Source organism: Homo sapiens, chromosome 9 (assembly GCF_000001405.40).
Source record: "Homo sapiens chromosome 9, GRCh38.p14 Primary Assembly".
Taxonomy (NCBI): domain Eukaryota; kingdom Metazoa; phylum Chordata; class Mammalia; order Primates; family Hominidae; genus Homo; species Homo sapiens.
The window spans coordinates 11,552,186-11,575,826 of record NC_000009.12 but is presented as its reverse complement, the minus strand read 5'-3'; positions in this window follow the sequence as shown (position 1 = coordinate 11,575,826).

Below are 23,641 nucleotides of genomic sequence, written 5' to 3'. Positions count from 1 at the left end.
TGAAGTGTTAGGATAGATTCAGAGGCAGCAAGAGATACTTTTTATTTGTTGCTTATGTCTATGTATAAACTTGCAAAATTATTTCATGTATTGGTTAAAACTTTATGCTTTTCCCATGGGTCCCAAGTTGTCTATGCTATCTGGAGTGACTTTATTTGCCTCAACACAATGGTGAACTTTCACTGATCGAATACCTAACTCAAACATTTCATTCTTCCAAAATATTTCCTTTCAAATTTCTCTGTACTCTCCACAGCTATATAATTCTGTGTTTCCTCCATTTCATCACTAAGGTTTCTTATATATGTTGTTAGTCAAACACAAATTAATGTGGATTGAATTGTTTGTATATGTTTAAGTTATATGTTCAGTTATAATTTATAATGCAAATTGAAACAGTTCTGAGAGTAAAAGGTGCTGCTATTAGTAATAATGTCAGGCTAACTGATATAAACCCAGATACTAACTTGGAACCTACATTCAAACCCGCTAATAAATAACAATCATGTGGAATCTGTGGATCATATATAATATATATACTTATATATAAAGTGTCTGGCAATTTGCTTCACATGTAATCAATGTTTAGTAATGTTCATGGCACCCGTATGTACAAATGAAACCTTAAGTAAAAGACCCAATACATATATACTCAGGCCAGTGACCTCTGGTGACTCCTGTGGCGCTAGTTAATAAGTTTCTGTCTATCAGTAATTTGCTTTACTATCCTGGGAATGGTGTGCTGCACTCCACATTTTTGTTTTGCCATCTTGTTCCTTTTTAGGTTCTGCTGGTAATGGACCCTTGAGAGAGACTGAAAAGGTTGAGGTGGGAGAAAGGCCTTGCTTTCTGTTTGTCTCTTATTCTTTTATCAACCTTGCTTCTTCACCATAGAAACAGCAGTAACTTCCAATAGCAGCAGTCGAATCTAGTTTGCAGGTTTTCTAAATGTTAGAACATCATTTTTTCCTCTTCAGAGACATCAGCACCTTGGGCTGAGACTCTTCTCTTCAGACTTCTAGGCTCAGCCGGTCAGGACCAACCTCCTCAGAGATCTGAATTTCAGTTGGCAGGGCTCTTTCTTAAAGCTCCTAAAGTATTATAATCCAAGCCATTTATTGCATTCCCTCAGCCTTAGAACTATCAGGTGTTTCCTGCAAATATTACCTCCACATTATCTCAGAATTCTCTTTGTGCATTTCCAGTTACCTATTTAACACTGTCATATCTACTTAGCAATTCTTTACATTAAGTCATTTTCCTAAATAATTGACATACAGACACTTTCTGTAGGATTAATATCACTATATATTTCCAAAGAATGGGTTTTTCTCCCTAAGGGCTCATGTTCTCACTCCATTCATTACTAATTAGCTGTCGGCTACCAAACGCATAAAAGCAGTAATCAGGCCTAAGAAGGAAATGAGACATTGTCATTGCTTCTGACTCAGTTAGTCTTTTTTAGCTTCATATCTGAATACTCTAACAGAAAATAATATTCTTACCTCCAACCATTTCTGACTGTAAAATCTCATGTTTTTACCTTCAGTGTGTAGGTAGCTTCTTTATAAACCATTCCTTTCTGATTTATTTCCTCTTTGAGTTTTATCATAAACAAATGCGTAATCTCATGAAAGAAGTTCCCACTGGCAGAACTTTAGCTTCCTTATTCATAGCCATATTCCTAATATACAGTATTTATTTTCTATTGTATAACTCTTCAATGTAACAATTGCAATGGTGATTTAATTCCCTAAACTATACAAAACTATAAGACATTAAATGCCCAGCATATTAGTGTTAATTTCCAGACACCTATTTTAATTGGTGTGGTGGATTACTGCATACAGCTCTTTTACTGGACATATCACAAATAATTATCTATGTTCACATGAATCTTCATAATGCCCATTTATTATATATGGCTAAAAATATTCCTCTAAGTTGATGTGTAAATATTTATGTAGTTAAACCTCTGATTTCGGACACTTAGTTTGATTTCAGATTTTTTCTACACCGTACCACACTGCAATGGATATGTTTGTGTGTCTGTGTGTGTGTGTAAACTTTTTCTTTTGGAATAGACTTTTAATATAAATTCCAAAAGAAAAAGTTTACACACATACACAAATATCTAGTTTTGGATATATTGAGTCAGAGAGAATGAAGTCATGTGTTTATACTAAAGCCAGACAGAATCTTCTTTTCTGATGGGTTACCTCTAGGCTCATCTGTGACAGGGGAAATCATGGCAGTCTTTCCTTATATAGTCATAAAATTCTGCATCAAAATTGGTACTAAAAAAATTGGTACTATATATTTCACGGCATACTTATTTGATAATACTGGGTGTTTCAGGTATTCAGTGGGAGAGGAAAGGGACAAGTCATACTGAGACATTCAATAGTCTAGCAAATTACTAACTTATTTTTGACCCTCAATCTGCAAGTGAGAGAAGGTTGATAAATGGAGAGACATTTAAATGTCCTTAAAAACACATCAGACTTTGGCTTGATAGTTCATTGAGGCAGGGAACATTATTGACAGGATGATGTTATCATCATTAGTCTATTCACTAGTTTTTCTGGTCCTTCACTGTTCACTGGTGGTTTGTTCCTTTTCATCCCCTTGAAGTTAGATAGAGACTTGATCTTATTTTCACCAGTGAAATATAAGCAGAGGTGATAGGCTCAATCACTTAGGTCAGAACAGAGGAGGATGTGCAAATGAGATCTAGATTGGAGTGAGTTTATTTTATTTATTTATTTTTTATTTTTATACTTTAAGTTGTAGAGTACATGTGCACAATGTGCAGGTTTGTTACATATGTATGCATGTGCCATGTTGGTGTGCTGTGCTCATTAACTCATCATTTACATTAGGTATATCTCCTAATGCTATCCCTCCCCCCTCCCCCCACCCCACAACAGGCCGCATTGTGTGATGTTCCCCACCCTGTGTCGAAGTGTTCTCATTCTTCAATTCCCACCTATGAGTGAGAACATGCGGTGTTTGGTTTTTTGTCCTTGTGATAGTTTGCTGAGAATGATGGTTTCCAGCTTCATCCATGTCCCTACAAAGGACATGAACTCATCATTTTTTATGGCTGCATAGTATTCCGTGGTGTATATGTGCCACATTTTCTTAATCCAGTCTATCACTGATGGACATTTGGGTTGGTTCCAAGTCTTTGCTATTGTGAATAGTGCCACAATGAACATACGTGTAAATGTGTCTTTATAGCAACATGATTTATAATCCTTTGGGTATATACCCAGTAATGGGATGGCTGGGTCAAATGGTATTTCTAGTTCTAGATCCCTGAGGAATCGCCACACTGTCTTCCACAATGGTTGAACCAGTTTATAGTCCCCCAACAGTGTAAAAGTGTTCCTATTTCTCCACATCCTCTCCAGTACCTGTTGTTTCCTGACTTTTTAATGATTGCCATTCAATGAGATGATATATCATTGTGGTTTTTGATTTGCATTTCTCTGATGGCCAGTGATGTTGAGCATTTTTTCACGTGTCTGTTGGCTGCATAAATGTCTTCTTTTGAGAAGTGTCTGTTCATATCCTTTGCCCACTCTTTGATGGGGTTGTTTGATTTTTTTTTGTAAATTTGTTGGAGTTCTTTGTAGATTCTGGATATTAGCCCTTTGTCAGATGGGTAGATTGTAAAAATTTTCTCCCATTCTGTAGGTTGCCTGTTCACTCTGATGGTGGTTTCTTTTGCTGTGCAGCAGCTCTTTAGTTTAATTAGATCTCATTTGTCAATTTTGGCTTGTGTTGCCATTGCTTTTTGTGTTTCAGTCATGAAGTCCTTGCCCATGCCTGTGGCCTGAATGGTATTGCCTAGATTTTCTTCTAGAGTTTTTATGGTTTTAGGTCTAACATTTCAGTCTTTAATCCATCTTGAATTAATTTTTGTATAAGGTGTAAAGAAGGGATCCAGCTTCAGCTTTCTACATATGGCTAGCCAGTTTTCCCATCACCATTTATTAAATAGGAAATCCTTTCCCCATTTCTTGTTTTTGTCAGATTTGTCAAAGATCAGACAATTGTAGATGTGTGGTATTATTTCTGAGGGCTCTGTTCTGTTCCATTGGTCTATATCTCTGTTTTGGTACCGGTACTATGCTGTTTTGGTTACTGTAGTCTTGTAGTATAGTTTGAAGTCAGATAGCGTGATGCCTCCAGCTTTGTTCTTTTGGCTTAGGATTGTCTTGGCAATGCGAGCTCTTTTTTGGTTCCATATGAACTTTAAAGTAGTTTTTTTTTCCAATTCTGTGAAGAAAGTCGTTGGTAGCTTGATGGGAATGGCATTGAATCTATAAATTACCTTGGGCAGTATGGCCATTTTCACAGTATTGATTCTTCCTATCCATGAGCATGGAATGTTCTTCCATTTGTTTGTGTCCTCTTTTATTTAATTGAGCAGTGGTTTGTAGTTCTCCTTGAAGAGGTTTTTCACATCCTTTGTAAGTTGGATTCCTAGATACTTTATTCTCTTTTAAGCAATTGTGAATGGGAGTTCACTCATGATTTGACTCTGTCTCTGTTATTGGTGTATAGGAATGCTTGTGATTTTTGCACATTGATTTTGTATCCTGAGACTTTGCTGAAGTTGCTTATCAGCTTATGGAGATTTTGGGCTGAGATGATGGGGTTTTCTAAATATACAATCATGTCATCTGCAAACAGGTACTATTTGACTTCCTCTTTTCCTAATTGAATACCCTTTATTTATTTCTCCTGCCTGATTTCCCTGACCAGAACTTCCAACACTATGTTGAATAGGAGTGGTGAGAGAGGGCATCCCTGTCTTGTGCCAGTTTTCAAAGGGAATGCTTCCAGTTTTTGCCCATTCAGTATGATATTGGCTGTGGGTTTGTCATAAATAGCTCTTACTATTTTGAGATACATCCCGTCAATACCTAATTTATTGACAGTTTTTAGGATGAAGGGCTGCAGAAACTTCTGCAGACTTATACGTCCCTGTCTGACAGCTTTGAAGAGAGTAGTGGTTCTCCCAGCACAGAGTTTGAGATCTGCGAATGGACAGACTGCCTCGTCAAGTGGGTCCCTGGAGTAAGTTTAAAAATGAGTAGAAGTTGAGAACATGGACTTATGTCTCTTTGTTGAGAAGTTGGAATATAAAGGATTGGAGCTACTTAAGATAGATGAAGAAAATAATGTAATAGTTGAAAAAAGTTGTAAGATTAATGGAGGATTTAGATATTTTGTTTCAAGTTTTATAGTCAAGATAAGGTAACATCTCTATGCCTAAATGTCGATGAGACAACAATGTATAAGTAATAACTTTCAGAACACTTTCAAGGCAATTTCAGGATGTTCTATTTAAGAAAATCACACAAGTAACTGTTGGAATTGATAGAAAAAGAGGAAGAAGAATCTTCAGTCACACTTCAGTGGAGATGTTTTTGGCTATGTTATAATTATTAGTTAAATTTTAAGGCAGATGAAAAACAGAGGCATGAAAATGAAAAAGAAACAATGACAGATTAAATCATGTATGTGAAATAGAAGAGAATAGAACAAACATAATGTGAAGTAATTTAATATAACATAATAATAGCAATTGATAAGTAAATGTAGAAATGAGCCAGAGTGAAAATTTGACTGTGATTCCAAAATTTCCAGGTAAAAACTTTTCCTGTACAGCAGCTCTTCTGGGAGGGTGGAACAAAATAGAAATGATTAATTTTTTGTTTTTTTGGAAATCAGATAATGAGTTCAGCTCTGCATATGTGGAGACTCTACTACCTATGAGATTATTTGATAAAAATTTGGGGCTCAAATCATAAATTATATTTTAATTTGCCCATGTTTATTCCCTTGGCTTTATTTTAAAACACAATGCTTTTATTGTGCTGAGTTGATTGATCTAGTAGCCTGTCACAAGGCCAGTTTTTCCAGAGCTTATTACCTGGCTAATGCCTTTCACCAGCCCTTTTTCTCTCTATCAGCATGTGTTGAGCAATGAAGCACAAAAATTGCATATGGTCCCCTAATTTTAATGCACAAATATATACTGCTTTACTATTGCATTTATTATCCTTCTTTGCCTGAAAGCTTATTTGATTGAAATTTTTGGCTTTAATTGAGAAGGTTGAAATAAACCAGTTTTTTACTTTGAATAATGATTTTTTTATTACTTGCTCTTCTTGAATAATAAGAACTATAAACCTAACCAGGCAAAAGTAAAAGTCATTTTGGGGATTCTGAACAATACATTAGGATATTTTTTCTTTAAATTATAACTCAACTGTGGTAAAGAAAAACAAAGAAAACCAAAGGAAAATTTAGATTGTGATAATAACACATTTTTAAGTAAATACTTCAGATTTGAGATTTCTTCATTTATTCCATCAAGGAACTAAAATGCTACCCTATTACACAAGGTATTTAAACCAATTATATAAGAGTAATTGTATAAACTACCATACCTAATATGATGGCAACAGCACTAAGCAGGTGAATAATGAGTGTTATCTAAATGAATGCATTTCATTTGTCTCTGTTCATCTACTAATAAAAACAATAATATTTTAAACATCAAATTCAAGAATCATTTTTTAATTTTTAAATATTTAGTTTTATAAGAAATGAGGAAAATATATATGAATTATATTATTTCCTATTTATTTGTAATATATTGCCTATAATAATGATGTTCTCATAGATCCCAATGCTTGAATGTATTTCAAAAATGAAATTACCATCCAATGATTAAATAAAGATATAGAAAGTAGGCCAAAAGAATGGTATATTATATTTGGAACTTTCTTTATAAATTGTGTTTTTAACAATGACTTACTTGATTTTTGCAAACCTAAGACAATCCATTCTTGACATCCATCAAATGCTGTAGGAGAACATTCAAGATGTTTCCCAGTTTGTCTCTATAATTGTTTGTATGTCATACCCCTGTATGCTATTTACAGCTACTACTCATTTTCTGAAAGTGCCATCTTTTCTCATGAATATAAATTTGGTGATTTGGTTTACCACTTCCTGGATTGCCTTCTTTTGTATTTTGAGCTCTTATCTCTTCCTCCTTTCCTAACTCATCTTTCTACTGCTCTCCTTTATTCATTTACTCTTTCTCCTCTTTATCTTTCTCCTCACCCTTCTTCATCCCTGCAGTTATTAATTTTTTGAATATCTAATTAGTTTCTTTACAGATTACCTCATTATAAATTATTCTGCACTTCTATGTGAAAATCTAAGGTTATGTTTTTATTTTTCATATGCTGCCAATAACTGTATGCCTTATGTTATGATTACTTGTATACATATATGAGCCCATTGCCTAAGATAATGAAGATTAGGTAGGGATTGTTCACTTTTGTCTTTCTTAGTAACAAGCCCCAAAATATTTATATGATTAGTTATTGATCAATGTCAGAATGCACCGAATATGCACGGTAGTTATAGTCAAGGCAGATCAACTGAATTATATGTTAGTACTTTTTCAATGAGATAAATTAAATAGAACCTTTCAATGTGTAAAGAAAGAAACTAAATGGGAGAATGAAAATTTTAACTAAAATTGTGTTTCTAGTGGATGGATTCCAGTTAACATTAAAAGCTTGAAAAATTAAGATAAATCACTTTTTAAAAATAGAGTTCAGAAGAGACCAAAGGAAATAACGTAATTTCCATTTGGATCAAAAAGAAGCAGTGAAATTATTAGTAAAGATTGCAGGGAAAAAATAACACTGGAAGGAAGTTCATAGTGGAACATGACAAGGGAGGTGCCTAGTAGTTAGGTTGACAAATGAATATATGAAAACTACAGGTAAAGAGGTAAAGATGAAATAAGATCACAGGCACAAATAAGATGGAAAGCCCAAAATATATAATACATTATTTTTAGTGTAATATACATTGATAGAAATTGAAATGAGAAGGAGTGGAACAAGATGGTGGAATAGAGGTTCCCACCAATAGTCTCCCTTTCTGAAGAAACACCAAATTTAACAACTATCTACAAACAAAAATCAAATTCATAATAACCAAAAATCAGATGAGCCTTCAAAGTACCTGGTTTTAATTTTGTATCACTGAAAGAGGCACTGAAACAGATAACGAGGATAGTTTTGAATTACTGATTCCACCTTGCTCCCATTTCCCAATGGCAACCACATGGCACAGAGAAATGGGGGAGCTTGGGGGAGGAAGAGCACAGCAATTGTGATATGTTGCAATGAACTCAGTGCTGCCTGGTCACAGTGGAAAGCAAAATTGGATTAAACTCAGCTGATACTCTCCCACAGAGGGAGCATTTAGACCAGCCCTAGCCAGAGGGGAATCACCCATCCCAGTGGTTAGAACTTGAGTTCTGGCAAACCTCACCACCATGGGCGAAAGTGCTATGGGGCCCTAAATAAACTTGAAGTGCAGTCTAAACCATAAGGACTGCAAGTCCTAGTGCTAGGCTAGGCTCAAAGCCAGCAGTCTTGGGGGATACATGACCTACCGAGACACAAGGCAAGTCAGCTAGGGGAGTGCTGTGCCACCATTCTCCTATCCCCAGGAAGCACATCTTACAGCTCCCAAAGAGATCCCTTTCTTCCACTTGAAGAGAGGAGAGGAAAGATTAAAGAGGGCATTTGTCTTGCATCTTGGATACCAGTTCAGCCACATTAGAATATGGCACTAGTCAGAGTCATGAGGCCCCATTCCAGGACCTAGCTCCTGAGAAACATTTCTAGACACAACCTAGGCCAGAAGAGAAGCTGTTGCTTTGAACGGAAAGACTCAGTCCTGGTAGAACCCATCACCTGCTGACTAAAGAGCCCCTGGGCCCTGAATAGCCAGCAGTGATAACCAGGTAGTATGCCAGGGACCTTGGGTAAGACTCTAAGAAGTGCTAGCTTCAAATGAGATGCAGCATATTCTCTGCTATGGTGGCTGTGGCTTGAGAAATGCAAAGGGAAAATTAAAGGGAACTTTATATTGCATCTTAGATACTAGCTTGACCACAGTAGCATAGAGCACCATGGGGGCTCTTGGGGGCCTGATTCCAGGCCTGGACTCCTGGATGGCATTAATGGACCTGCCCTGGGCAAGAGGAGAGCACACTGCCCTGAAGAGTGAGTCCCAGGCCTGACAAAATTCACCACAAGCTAACCAAAGAGGCCTTAGGCCTGAAGTAAATATTGGTGGTAGCCTGGCAGTACTCCTGTGGGCCTCTGGTCATGGTGGTAGCCAGAGTGAGGCTCCTCTTCCACGGAAAGGAGTGGGAAGAGAGGAAATAATTGCTTCTTGAAGTCTGAGGACAAGTTCAAACATGTTAATAGTATAATAGAAAACTATATTGTTATTATATTAATAACTATTATATTAATAGTATAATAGAAAAATAGAAAGTAGATGTACTAATTTTTTTACTCCAGTCCCTAACTCCTGATGGCATCTCTGAATCTACCCAGGGCCTGGGGGAACTTACTATCCTGAAGGGAAGGACACAAGCCTGGCTTGTTTCACCATCTGCCTATAGTAGAGCCCGAGGGCCTTGAGTGAACATAGGCAATAGCAAGGTAGTGGTAACCCTGGACCTTGGGCAAGACCCAGTATTGTGCTGGCTTCAGGTCTGACCCATCACAGTCCCAGCGGTGGTGGCTACAGAGGTGCTTGTGTCACACCACCCACAGTCACAGGCAGCTCAGCACACAGAGAGAGACTCCATTTGTTTGAGAGAAAGTAAGGGAAAAGAACAAGAGTCTCTGCTTAGTAATCCATAGGATTATCTGAGATCTTATCCAAGGTGGTACCTCTACAAGTCTGCAAGAACCACAGCATTACTTAGGCTCAAGTGCCCCCTAATGCAGGTAGAGCTTAGGTCACAACACTCAAGTCCTTTCAAATACCTGGAAAGCCTTCCCAAGAAGGATAGGTACAAACAAGCCCAGAATGTGTAGACTACAATAAACACCTAAGTCTTCAGACTCCAGACACTGACAAACATCAGAAAACATCAAGACCATCCAGGAAAACATGTTCTAACTAAATGAACTAAAAAAGGCACTAGGGACCAGTCTTGGAGAAGCAAAGACATGAGACCTTTCAGACAGAGAATTCAAAACAATTTTGTTTAGAAAACTCAAAGAAATTCAAGATAATACAGAAAAGAAATTCAGAATTCTATTGCATAAATTTAACAAAAAATTGAAATAATTAAAAAGAATCAAGCAGAAATTCTAGAGTTGAAAAATGCAATTGACATGTTAAAGAATGCATCAGAATCAATAGCAAAATTAATCAAGCAGAAGCAAGAATTTGTGAGCTTGAAGACAGGGTACTTGAAAATATGCAGCCAACAGCAACAAAAAATAATAATAAAAAAGAATAAAGTACACCTACATGATCTAGAAAATAGCCTGCAAAAAGCAATTATACAAGTTACTGGCCTTCAAGAAGAGGCAGAGAGAAAGATAGGGTAGAAAATTTATTCAAAAAGATAGTAGATTACTTCTCAAACCTAGAGAAAGATGTCAATAGCAAATACAGAAAGTTTATAGACCACCCAGAAGATTTAACCCAAATAATACTATCTCAAGGCACTTAAACTCCCTAAGATCAAGGATAAAGAAAGAATCCAAAAAGCAGCAAGAGAAAAGAAAGAAATAATACACAATAGAGCTCTAATACATTTGGCAGCAGACATTTCAGTGGAAATCTTATAGGCCAGGAGAGAGTGCCATGACATATTAAAGGGCTGATACCAAAACCAGACAAAGACCTATCAAAAAAAAATCTATAGGCCAATATTACTGATGAATATTGATGCAAAAATCTTCAAAAAATATTAAAAATTGATTTCAACAACACATTGAAAAGATCATTTATCATGACCAATTGTGGTTTATTCCAGGAATGCAAGATGGTTCAACATATGCAAATCAATCAATCAGTGTGACACATCATATTAGTAGAATAAAGGACAAAAACCATATGATCATTTCAATTGATGCTGAAAAAGTATTTGATAAAATTCAACATCCCTTCATGATACAAACCCTCAAACAACTTGATATGGAAGGAACATACCTCAACAAAATAAAAACCATATATGACCAACTCACAGCTAGCATCATACTGAATGGGGAAAAACTACAAATCTTTTCTCTAAGATCTGGAACAAGACAAGGATGCCCACTTTTAACACTGTTATTCAAAATATTGTTGGAAATCCTAGGTAGAGCAGTCAGACGAGAGAAAGAAATAAAGGATACCCAAATTGGAAAGGAAGAAGTAAAATTATGATTTTTTTGCAGAATATATTGTCTTATATTTTGAGAAACCTGAAGACTCCACATAAAAAAAAACTGTTAGAACTGATAAATTCAGTGAAGTCAGAGTATACAAAATTAAACTTACAACAGGAGTAGCATTTCTATATTCTGACAGTGAACAATTGGAAAAAGAAATCAAGCAAGTAATTCCATTTATAATAGCTACAGAATAATAAAATACTTAGAAATTAAGTGAATCAAATAAGTGAAAGATCTGTACAATGAAAACTATAAAACATTGATGCAAGAAATTAGAAAGCAAAAAAATGATATTTTTAATGTCTATACTACCAAAAGCCATCTACAGTTTCATTATAATTCCTATCAACATAACAAATACATTCTTTGCAGACATACAAAAAAATCCTAAGATTTTTATGCAATTAGAAAACACTCAGAATAGCTAAAGTTGTCCTAAGCAATAAGAACAAAACTGAAGGATTCATATTACCTGACTTCAAATTATACTACAGAGCTATAATAATCAAAACAACCTTGTACTGGCATAAAAGCAGATACACAGAAAAATGGAACAGAATAGAGTTCCCAGAAATAAATCCATACATCTAGGGTGAACTCATTTTTTACAAAGATGCCAAGAATGTACATCTATACTCTGGCTTTAAAATGGACAAGAGACCTTCAGAGACATTTCTCAAAAGGAGACATACATATGGCAAACAGGTATATGAAAAGGTGCAACAACATGGATGGAAGTGGAGGCCATTATCCTAAGTGAAATAAGCCAAGCATAGAAAGACCAGCTTCACATGTTCTCACTTATTTGTGGAATCTAAATATTAAAACAATTGATTTCACAGAGATAGAGAGTAGAAGGATGGTTACCAGAAGCTGGCAAGGGTAATGGGGGCATGGGGGAAGGCTGTGGGTAGAAGTGGGGATGTTTAATGGGTGCAAAATATAGTTAGAAAGAAAGAATAAGATGTAGTTAGTATTACCTAGCACAACAGGATGACTATAGTAAAAAACAATTTAATTGTACATTTTAAAATATTTTTAATGAATTGTATCTAATACATAGGATAAATACTTGAGGTGATGGATACCCTATTTACCCTGATGTGATTATTATTCATTGCATGCCTGTATGAAAATATCTCATGAAACCATAAATATATACCCTAGTATCTACCCATGGAAATAAAAAATTAAAAAATAATAATAATTAAAAAACAGTAAAGCAGACATTATAGGGAAGTTTTCAAAAAAAGAAACTAAAATAAGGTAAAATAACAAGGGCTCAATCTTCTGTTTTTGTTCATTTATTCACACTGCTGCCTAACATAAAAGAAATATACGAACATAAATGGGAAGAAATTCCATCCAGAACTCTATCATATTTACCTTTTTTAAATCTTGGTTAAAACATTAAAAATGTGTGAATAGAAGACTACCAATCCCTAATTATCATCTGACATATCATTCATGTAATGCTTTGTATTTATTTGCTGTTGACTCTGTTTTCCTCAATTCAAGCCATGTTTTCATCCTGTATGAGCTCAGTATACATGTGGATGACTCTGATATTCTGCCTGTTGGTTTGTTTATCTTCTTAGTTAAAAAAAAAAAAAAAATGCTGGGCGCGGTGGCTCACACCTGTAATCCCAGCACTTTGGGAGGCCGAGGTGGGCAGATCACAAGGTCAAGATATTGAGACCGTCCTGGCCAACATGGATGGTGAAACCCCATCTCTACTAAAAATACAAAAATTAGCCGGGCATGGTGGCGCACACCTGTGGTTCCAGCTGCTCGGGAGGCTGAGGCCAGAGACTCGCTTGAACCCAGGAAGTGGAGGTTGCAGTGAGCCGAGATCACGCCACTGCACTCCATCCTGGGCCTGGTGGCAGAGCAAGACTCTGTCTCAAAAAAAAAATAAAATAAAATAAAGGAAGAAAGAAGGAAAGAAGGAAGGAAAGAAGGGAGAAGGGAGGGAAGGAAGGAAGGAAGGAAGGAAAGAAGGAAGGAAGGGAGAAAGGAAGGAAGGAGGAAGGAAGGAAGGAAGGAAGGAAAGAAAGAAAGAAAGAAAGAAAGAAAGAAAGAAAGAAAGAAAGAAAGAAACGAACAAACAGACAAAGAAACAAAGAAACAAAGAAAGAAACAAAGAAAGAAAAGAAAGAAAACCTTTATCAAGTTAAAAAAGATGTTTGGATTTTCAAATAAGCATTGCTGGAATCCTCAACAATGACTTCTCTTTACATGTGTTCATTTAAAATGGATCACATGGCCACATCTAACAACAATAAAACCATGAGATGAGCATTTTTAAATAGGTACATTTTCATGTTGAAAAAAATCAAGAATCTTGTAGTAGAGCAGATAATGTAATTCGATAGGCAACTAACAGAGTCTGCCACACCATGTATTTTTCCATCTCTAAAAATTTATACTAATAGCCTTTTTTTCTTAGACATACTCTACTCTCTAAGTCTTCCCTTTGCATTTTAAATACTGTCACACGTGTGCCTTTTGTAAAAAATAAATCCTATCTTCAAGTGCTCAAGTGCTTATTATTCTGAAGCTACATCTGTTGCCTCCAGTTGCAGCCAACACTCCTGAAAGGGTTGTTGAACCTGAGTCTCCATTTCTTTGGCTCTCATTTATTCACAAGCCCAATTCAATCAGGTTTAATACTCACTGTAATGCCATAGCATCACTGTATCACTGAGTTTATGGGTGATATCTATGACAGTTCATGAATCTTCTTTCTTAAGAGCTTTTACCTCTTGATCCTGCAGAGCACTGTCTTCTTAAAGTATCTCTACCTTTGCTTCCTTAACTAAACCCTTCTGTGAATTTTCAACCCACATCTCAAGTTTTTGTATCTCTTTTTTGCAAACTGTTACTCATCCACACAGCCCTTACACTTTTCAGTTATTCAAGACCACATTTTGTTGTATTTCTAACTATAATATCGTCCTAGGCTATCTAATTTATTAACCCATTCAATCCACAAACATTTACTTAACCACCTATTCTGGACCAAGCAGTCATTCACATGCCAGGGATGGAACAAAGCCTGCAAAATCCATGATTCATGAAGTTTGTATTTTAATGTGGGAAATGGTTAATACACAAGGAAAACAAATGAGATATATAGTATGTTGAAAGGCGACAAGCACCAAGAGTAAAAATGACACAGGGACATGGAATAGGCATTATCATGGAGGAAAGATTAAATTTTAGAGACGGTAAAGGAAAAGTCTCGCATAGAAGGTGATTTTGGAGGAATTTGAAAGAGATTAGAGAGTGGGATTGTGTGACTATATAGGAGAAAATTATTCAGGAGGAAGAAAGGCAGAAGGCATATTAAATAAACCACGTACACAGTTTCCATGGTAGTCCACAAAGAGGTACTAGTTTCCTGAATGAAGAAATGAATCATTATGATTACTATTCTTCATAAGAAAAGAAATATATCAAATCAAATAATTTATAATCAGTGAAAAAATTTCATTTAGGTTATTATTAGCCATGCTGTTATTCATAATAATTATTCACATTTTATATTATAAATTAAACCTAAAATATTGTTTTTTTATCACTCTTCTAGATACTGAAATTAAAAGAAGAAAACTAGGAGGACTATAATAAGTTATAGGGTGGGTTTCAAATAGTTAATTCTAGTCATACACATATATTCTAAAAACTTAGAACAGGTCATTTTGAATTCCTCCTATAGCATAACCACTGTGTTCTCTCTGCCCTCCTTGTAAGTACACTTTGATGACAACACAAATAACCCTGGCATTAAAACCAAAAGAATTTAAGAAGATATATATGCAAGAATGATATTACTGATCCCACAGATACTCTGCACTTAGATAATTTTAATCTCAACTTTCCATGATGCTGCTGGTTTCAACCAAGAGTGAGGTTGGAATATGTTGGCCCAGGTACATTCTTCTCCATGAAGCTTAAACAATGGTTTATTTTGTCACACCTATTTGCTAAATTTCAGAATATTAGTTGTGACCTGGTTCATAAGCCAATGTCATAAGTTATTTTCATAGGAGCCTCCTGTTTCTATAAAAGCTAAAAAACTTAATGAATCAATGCAATCTAAATTTATGTTACCCTACCAGCTGGAATTAAGTCTGGCCTTTCCCTTCCATTGATATATCTCTGTGTTTGATTGTTGCCCCGCAATGGGCTAGGCAGTGGCAAGGGAATAGAGAGTCCTTATACACTGATGATACACTGAGATCAAAGCTAAGATGTTCTCTTCACCTGACATGTAATGTTATTATTTTAGTTTGAAGTTAAATATATTATCTTGTTTAAATACAGGCTGCTTGTGGTTTTGCCTGTGGTTTAAAAAAAAAACAATATAAGATAAAGATGGATTAAATATATAAAACTCAGAAGTCTGGCAAGAGTTAGAAAAGAAGGTCTATACTTTATATAAAAAGCATTTATTGGTGTCAAGAAGTCTATCAAGCTAGATATAGATATGTACTCACTGTCTGCCTCCTCATACATATTATCCAGACTAAGAAAGCCACCAAATCTCCATGGCAGCTCACCTTCAGCCTCCTGCCCTGCACATCCATGCACGATTTTTAATCCAGTCTTACACTGGGCTGAGGAACTAATTCTCATCTCCACTGAGATATTTTCAACATCAACAATATTTGTTCTAACACTCAGGTGGACTTTTTAAAATTTGTGTTAGTTCTGACATTCTGGACACATATTCCTGCATTTCAGGCATACTTTCCTATACAATTCCTTCTTATTATTCAAAAGATAATTTAGGTAGTCTATATTTACTATGGTTCTGTTGCTTCTATTCATTGATCCTAGTAACATATGGTCTCAGTTCTTTCCATTCTTTTTCATATGACATTTCCAAGTCCTCTTTCCATAATGATAATGCCAATATCTTTTTCTGTCAATTACTTTGCATGATAGATGTTACTATTTAGCAACTACTAAAGTGCCATCAACACCTTCATATAACACACATGGCACATTGTAGATTATAAGAAATATTGCTTAATTGAGAATTGTCACTGTTTTTCAAAACACTAAGTTACAGAAATAATAGGTTTGGAATCTGAAATTCAAATCAAATCTTTCTTGCTCCAAAGTTACTTGTATTTCTACTATATTTCTAACTTTATGCTTTTTATCCTCTATTTTCAATTCCCTTCACTCTGTTGATTTCCTGAAGTTGTTTTAACAAATTACCACGCACTTGGGAGCTTAAAATAAAAGAAATTTAATCTCTCACAGTTTTGAAGGCCAGAAGTCTGAAATCATTATCAGTGGGCATAAATCGGAGGGTTGGCAGGGCTGCACTCACTTTAGAAGCTCTAGGGGAAAATCTGTTCTTTGTCATCTCCGCTTTGGGGGGCAGCCAGCATTCTCTGAATTTAATTGTTTAATTCCAATATCTACATCTGTAGTAGCACTGCTTTATCATCTTCTGTCTGTGTCAACTCTGTCTTTACCTCCCTCTTTTAAGGATATAAGTAATTGCATTTAGGGTCTGCCTTGATCATTCAGAATAATACTGCCATTTAAAGATATTTAACTGGATTACATATTTTTGCCATATAACATCCACAGATTTCAGGGATTAAGACTGGCCTACCATACTCTCCACCCTTCTTAACCCTATACTTTTCCCACCTCATAGTATCATGCCATTCCCAAATCCCTTCAACTCCACAGGGAGATAGAAGCTACTTTTCATTAACCCTGTGGTTCAGCACTATCCCATACAGTTTCAACTACCTATAGCTTTGTAAACAGTCCCTTTATTAAACCTTTCTTGAATTATCCATATTTGTGTATATCATCTGTGTCCTACTGGGATCTTTAAAATATCCAAGACATAAAGTACAATTTGGTACATCAGAAAGATGATGGAATAAAAAGAATTGAATCTTCCCCCCCCACCATGAACACACTGATTCAAAACAAAGCACAAAATAATTTCCTTTGTGTGAAATACAGAAACTAAATGGGAGACTCCTATATTCCCAGACAAGCATGAAACTAGCCAGAAACCAGTAGAAGTATTCCAACTGTGTCTCACCATAAGCTGTACTTCTGACATGATGCCCAGTGATGAAAAGGAAATACCCATCTCACCCATATGGAAGTAGGAAAAGGACTTGATTATATATTCAAGACTGATATTTCTGGGGCCTGACCATGGTGCTGGTTTCTGTCTTACCTACCCCTAAGAGCTAATGGGACCCAGCATACTCTAGCCACCTAGGGGCCACTAAGATTAAAAACCCACTTTGAACTAGCAAGCTAACACATGCCACAGTGGAATACCCTAGCTCAGTGCAGAGTGATTAGGGGAAAAAGAAAGAGCTCCCAGCTTTTCATCAGGGAGGGAAGAAAAGTAGTAGAGAGTACGTCCAATGTTCTTACATTTTTAGAGGCGTCCAAAGCAATAGATTCTGTTCCTCCTGTCTCAGAACTTTGATAAGACCTAGCATATTTTATAAAACTAGAGGCCACCAACCACAAAGATAGCAATTTGAACTACCACAAAGATTTGAGAGGTCCTCAGAATCTCTCACCAGACTTATTAGCAAGGGTCTTCTCTTGTATAAGACCAGTCCACAAAGACTGAAAGAGGTGGCCGTTTTGTCTAATATGCAGACACCAGTTCAAAGAGTTAGGGGAAATGAAGACACAGGGAAATATGTTGCAAACAAATGAGTAAAATAAATCTCAAGAAAAACATGATAATGAAATAGAGATATGATTTAGTGACTGATAATTCAAATGACAATTATGGAGTTGATGAGTGAGGTTAGGTGAGTAATTTATGAACTAAGTGAGAATTCTAATAAACTGATTGAAAATATATTTTAAATGACCAAAAGGGAATCATGGAGCTGAAGAGTATTATAATTTAAGTAAAAAATGTACAATAGGGGTTCTATAAGAGACTAGGTGAAGCAGAAAAAAGGATTAGCAAGCTAGAAGACATGTCATTGGAAATTATTCAATTGGAGAAACAAAAAAAATAATAAAATAGAGTCAAGAGAGCTTAAGAAGTTCCTGACACCATAAAGCAGATTAACTTATGCAATATGGGAGAAAAGAATAAGACTAAAGAGAAAGAGACAGAAAGCTTATTTAAAGAAATAGTGACCCAATCTTCCCAAATCTGAGGAAGGACATTTACGTCCATGTTCAAAAAGGCCAACAGACTTGAAGAAGAGATAAATCCAAAAATCATTCACACTGAGATACATAGTAATCACATTGTAAAAAGTGAAAGACAAAGAGAGAACTTTCAAAGTGGACAGAGAAAAGTGACATTTAAGGTACAAGAAAACCTCTATAAAACTATCATTGAATTTCTCAGCAAAAACATTGCAAGACAGAAGAGAGTGAGGTGACATATTTGAAGTTCTGCAAGAAATAAAACTGTCAACTAAGAATACTCTACTTGGAAAAACTGTCATTCAAAACTGAAAGAGAGAAAAGAAACATCCCTAGACCAGCAAAAACTGAGGGAAATTTAACCATGATAACTGTCTTACAAGAAATTCTAAAGGGAATTTTGAACATTGGAATGAAATAATATGAAAGAGAAATGCAGAAGCACAAAAAATTATAAAACTCACTATTAAAAGTAAATATATATACAAATACAGAATACTGTAGTAGTGTAATAATGTTAGGTAAATCATTTTCAATTAAAGTATAAAAGTTAAAAAGCAAACATTAAAAGTAACCATAAGTATAAAATATGCATATTGACAGTCTAAAGATATGTAAATTATGACATCAATAACATAAAGTATGTGAGTGAATAAAAGTATAAGTTTTTATATGGATTGAAGTCAAGTTCTTATCAGCTTAAAATAGACTATTATAAGTTGATTTACCTAAGTCCAATGACAACTATGAATAAAATATCTATAGAAGACAAACTCAAAAATAGTGAGAAAAGAATCAAAGGCATATTATTATAAAAAGTAAAAACACAATGAAGACAGCAAGAGAGGAAAAGAGAAACAAAACAGAAAATAATTTGCAAGACAGTAATTCTTTTTCTATCAACTGTTACTTCAGATATAAATGATTAAATTTCTCAATAAGAAACTACTGAGTAACTGAATTGATTAAAAATAACCAAGATTCAATTACATGCTGTCCAAAAGGAATTCCATTTAGATTTAAGGGCACAGAAAGGCTAAAAATGAAGGCAAGAAAAAAGATATCCCATGCACGCAATATATAAAAACAAGCAGAATCATCTATACTTTTATGAGAAGACACAAATTTTAAGTGAAAAACTGTCATAAGAGAAAAAATTATGCAATAATGAAAGGTCAGTTTTCCAGGAAAATATATATATATATTTGTTATAGCTAGCAGGCTAACGCATGCTACAGTGGCATACACTAGCACAGTGCAGAGTGCTTAGGGGAAAAAGAAACAGCTCCTAGCTTTTTATCAGGGAGGGAAGAAAAGTAGTAGGCAGTACGTCCAATGCTCTTGCATTTTTAAAGGCGTCCAAAGCAATAGATTCTGTTCCTCCTGTCTCAGAACTTTGATAAGACCTAGTATATTTTATATCTATCTATATATTTTTTTAATATATATTATTTATATATATATACTCCAAATCAAAGCACCTAAATATATAAGCAAACATTGACAGAATTGAAGAGGGTAATAGATAGCAATATAATAATAGTAAAAGACTTCGATACCCCCACTTTCAATAATGGATAGCCCATTCAGCCATTTAGACAGATCAGCAATATGGAAACAATGGACTGGAACAGCCATAAAGACCAAGTAGACCTAACAGACATATACACAACACTCCACCCAACAGTAACAAAATATATATTCTTCTCAAGTACACACTGATAATTCTCCAGAATAGTAAACATGTTCGGTCATAAAACAAGTTTTAACAAATTTAAGAAGAATAAAATCATACTAAGTATACTTTCCAACCATAGTGAAATTAAACCAGAAACCAATAACAGAAGGAGAACTGAAAAAATCATAAATATGTGAAACATAAACAACAGACTATGTATGAGTCAAATAAGAAATCAATAGACAAATTTAAACTATCTTGAAACAAATGAAAATGAAAATACAATATGTCATACCGTATGGAATGCAACAAAATAGTACTAAGAAGGATATTAATAGTGATAAATGATGACATTAAGAAAAAAAAGATTTCAAATAAAAAACCTAACTTTATACATTAAATAACTGGAAAAAGCTGAACAAACTAAGACCAAAGATAACAGATGGAAAGAAATATAAAGATTAGAACAGAAACAAAAGGATTAGAAAACAGAAAGGCAATAGAGAAAAATCAACAAAACTGGATTTCTTGAAAAGATAAAATTGACAAACCATTAGCTAATAAAAAGAAGCAACATGACTCAAATAGAAAAAAAAATCAAAATGAGAGAAAGACGTTACAACTGATAGTAGAGATACAAAATAAATATTCAAGACCACTATGAACAATTTTACACCAACTAATTAGATAACCTAGAAAAAAAGGATTAATTTTTAGTAATATACAACCTACCAAGACTAGGTCCAAAAGAAAGAGAAAATCTGGGCAGTCCTATAACTGGTAAGGAGATTGAATCAGTAATTTAAAACTTCTCAAAAAAGGAAAGCCCAGGACCATATGGCTTCATGAGTGAATTCGATCAAACATTTAAAGAAAAATTAATGTCAATTCTTCTCAAACTATTCCAAAAAATAAAGTGAAAATAATTTTATGAGGCCAAAATTACCCTGAAACATCCCTGATAAACACAGATGCAAATGTCCCCAAGAAAACATTAGTAAATTGAATTTAACAACACACTATAAGGATCATACACCATAATCATGCCAGATTTACCCATGACATTCAAGAGTGTTTTAACATGCACAAATCAATAAATGTGATCCACCACATTAACAAATGAAGTATAAAACCATGATCATCTCAATAGATGCAGAAAATGCCTTTGAAAAAATTCAACATCATTTCATGATTAAACAAAACAAACTCTCTAAAAACTAGGAATAGAAAGAAATTACTTTAAAATAATAAAGGCCATATATGTAAAGTTCACATCTAACATTATATTCAATAGTGAAAGACTAAAACGCGTTTTCTCTAACATCAGGAACAAGACAGTTATCCCTCTTCTATTCCCCATAGTGCTGGAAATTTTAACCAGACCAATTGGTAAAGAAAAAATAATAATAAAAGGCATCCAAATCAGAGAGAAAGAAGTAATATCATCTCTTTTTACAACTGATATAATCTTGTATGTAGAAACTCTAAAGATTCCACAATAAAACTGTTAGAACTAATAAACAATTTCAGTAAAATTACGATGCAAAATCAAAATACAAAATCAATATACAAAAAAAAGAAAAAAAATTGTGCAAAGTCAACTTGCAACATTTCTATATAGTAAGTACAAACTATCTGAAGAGAAAATTAAGAAAAATTATCATTTACAGTACAATCAAAAATAAGTACTTATAAATAAACTTAACTAAGGATGAGAAAGGCATGTAAACGGAAAACCACAAAACATTGAATAATAAAATTTAAGCAAAACACAAATGAATAGATACTTTGTGTTCATGGATTGTAAGACTACATTGTTAAAATGGACGTACTACCAAAGTTATTTACAGATGCAATACAATTTATATGCATTGAATCAGTAATCCTAATAATATTTTTTACAGAAATAGAAAAAAAATTAAATTTATATGAAAACACAAAAGATCCAAAATAGCCAAAACAGTCTTGAGAAAGAACAAAGATTGAGGAATTACACTTTCTGATTTCAGAATATATTAGAAAGCTATCATAATTAAAAGAGTGTATGATACTAGCAGAAAGACAAACATATAAAACGAATGAACAGAGACTCAAGAAATTAACCCAATCAAATACAATCAACTGATCTTCAACAAAGATGCAAAGAATAGAGAAAGGCTACTTTGTTTCTTCAACAAATGGTGCTGGGAAAACTGGTTATCCACATACAAAACGTAGTTGGACTCTTAAACATAAATCAACTCAAAATGGATTAAAGACTTAAATGTGATACCTGAAGTGTGAAACTCCTAGGAGAAAATAGGGGGAAAGCTTCATGACATTGGTCTTGGCAATTAGTTCTTAGACAAGACACCAAAAACAAGCAACAAAACCAAAAATAGAAAGTGTAACTACATCAATTTAGAAAGTTTCTGCATAACAAAGAAAACAATCAACAGAGTGAAAAGATAACCGAAAATGGGAGAAAACATTTGCAAACCATACGTTTGAAAGAAGGTTAATTTTCAAAATGTATGAAAAACTTCAACTGAACAGAGACAAAAGCAAATGACCCCATTAAAAATGGGCAAAGGATTTGAATAGACATTTCATCAGCAAATACATACAGATGGCTCAACATCACTAATCTTTAGGGAAATTCAGATTTCCTTTAACTATCATTGATTCTATTTATTTTGTAATATATATATATATATAGACACACACACACACACACACACATATGTGTCTGTGATTAAATTTTCAATGTGCTGCTGCACCTGGTCCTTATTCCACAATTTATTTTTATCATCTCTTTTTCCACAAACCTTTCTAGATTTCCCTCACTGTTGGTCAGTTCTTCAGCTAGTTTGGTGTGCTTGCCTGATTGAGTGATTCAGACTTTTATCCCAGAGGGGTCTGAGATTTTGTTTTTCTTGATCTTTGTCAGATAGTCCTTCCATCAAGGACACATTTGAGAGTTATCACTGAGCTTGAAAACACCAAGATGTTTCTCAGGGGAAATTGAGTTCAAAACATACTTATAGCTACTTTACTGTAACACTCGGCATCAGCTCCTCATTATAATACGGGCTTTGCTCATGCTAGTAGTATAACTCATTTCTCCTCTTACATATATACCAGCTTACAATACTCAAAGTGGCCAGGAAAAAAAGTCATTACTTTAGGTTTAGTATAATCTTTACTGTATCCCTTGGAGGAAACTATCTGCGTGGGTAATGGTATCTATTATCCATTAGAATTTAGGAGCACTAAGGATGGGAAGCATTTATTTGAGAGTCAGTATGTGGGAGAGGAAGATTATGTTTCCTGTGTCTTTTGCACCGCAATATTTTTACTCGATATTTTCTATTTTTGATCCAACATTAAGTTTAATGAATTAATTCTGTTTGATAATGTAGCTATTTTTATAATAGGTTTCAAGTAATTTACTTAAAATTTTTGCATCACTATTGATAGTAAATTAGCCTCTATTTTATCT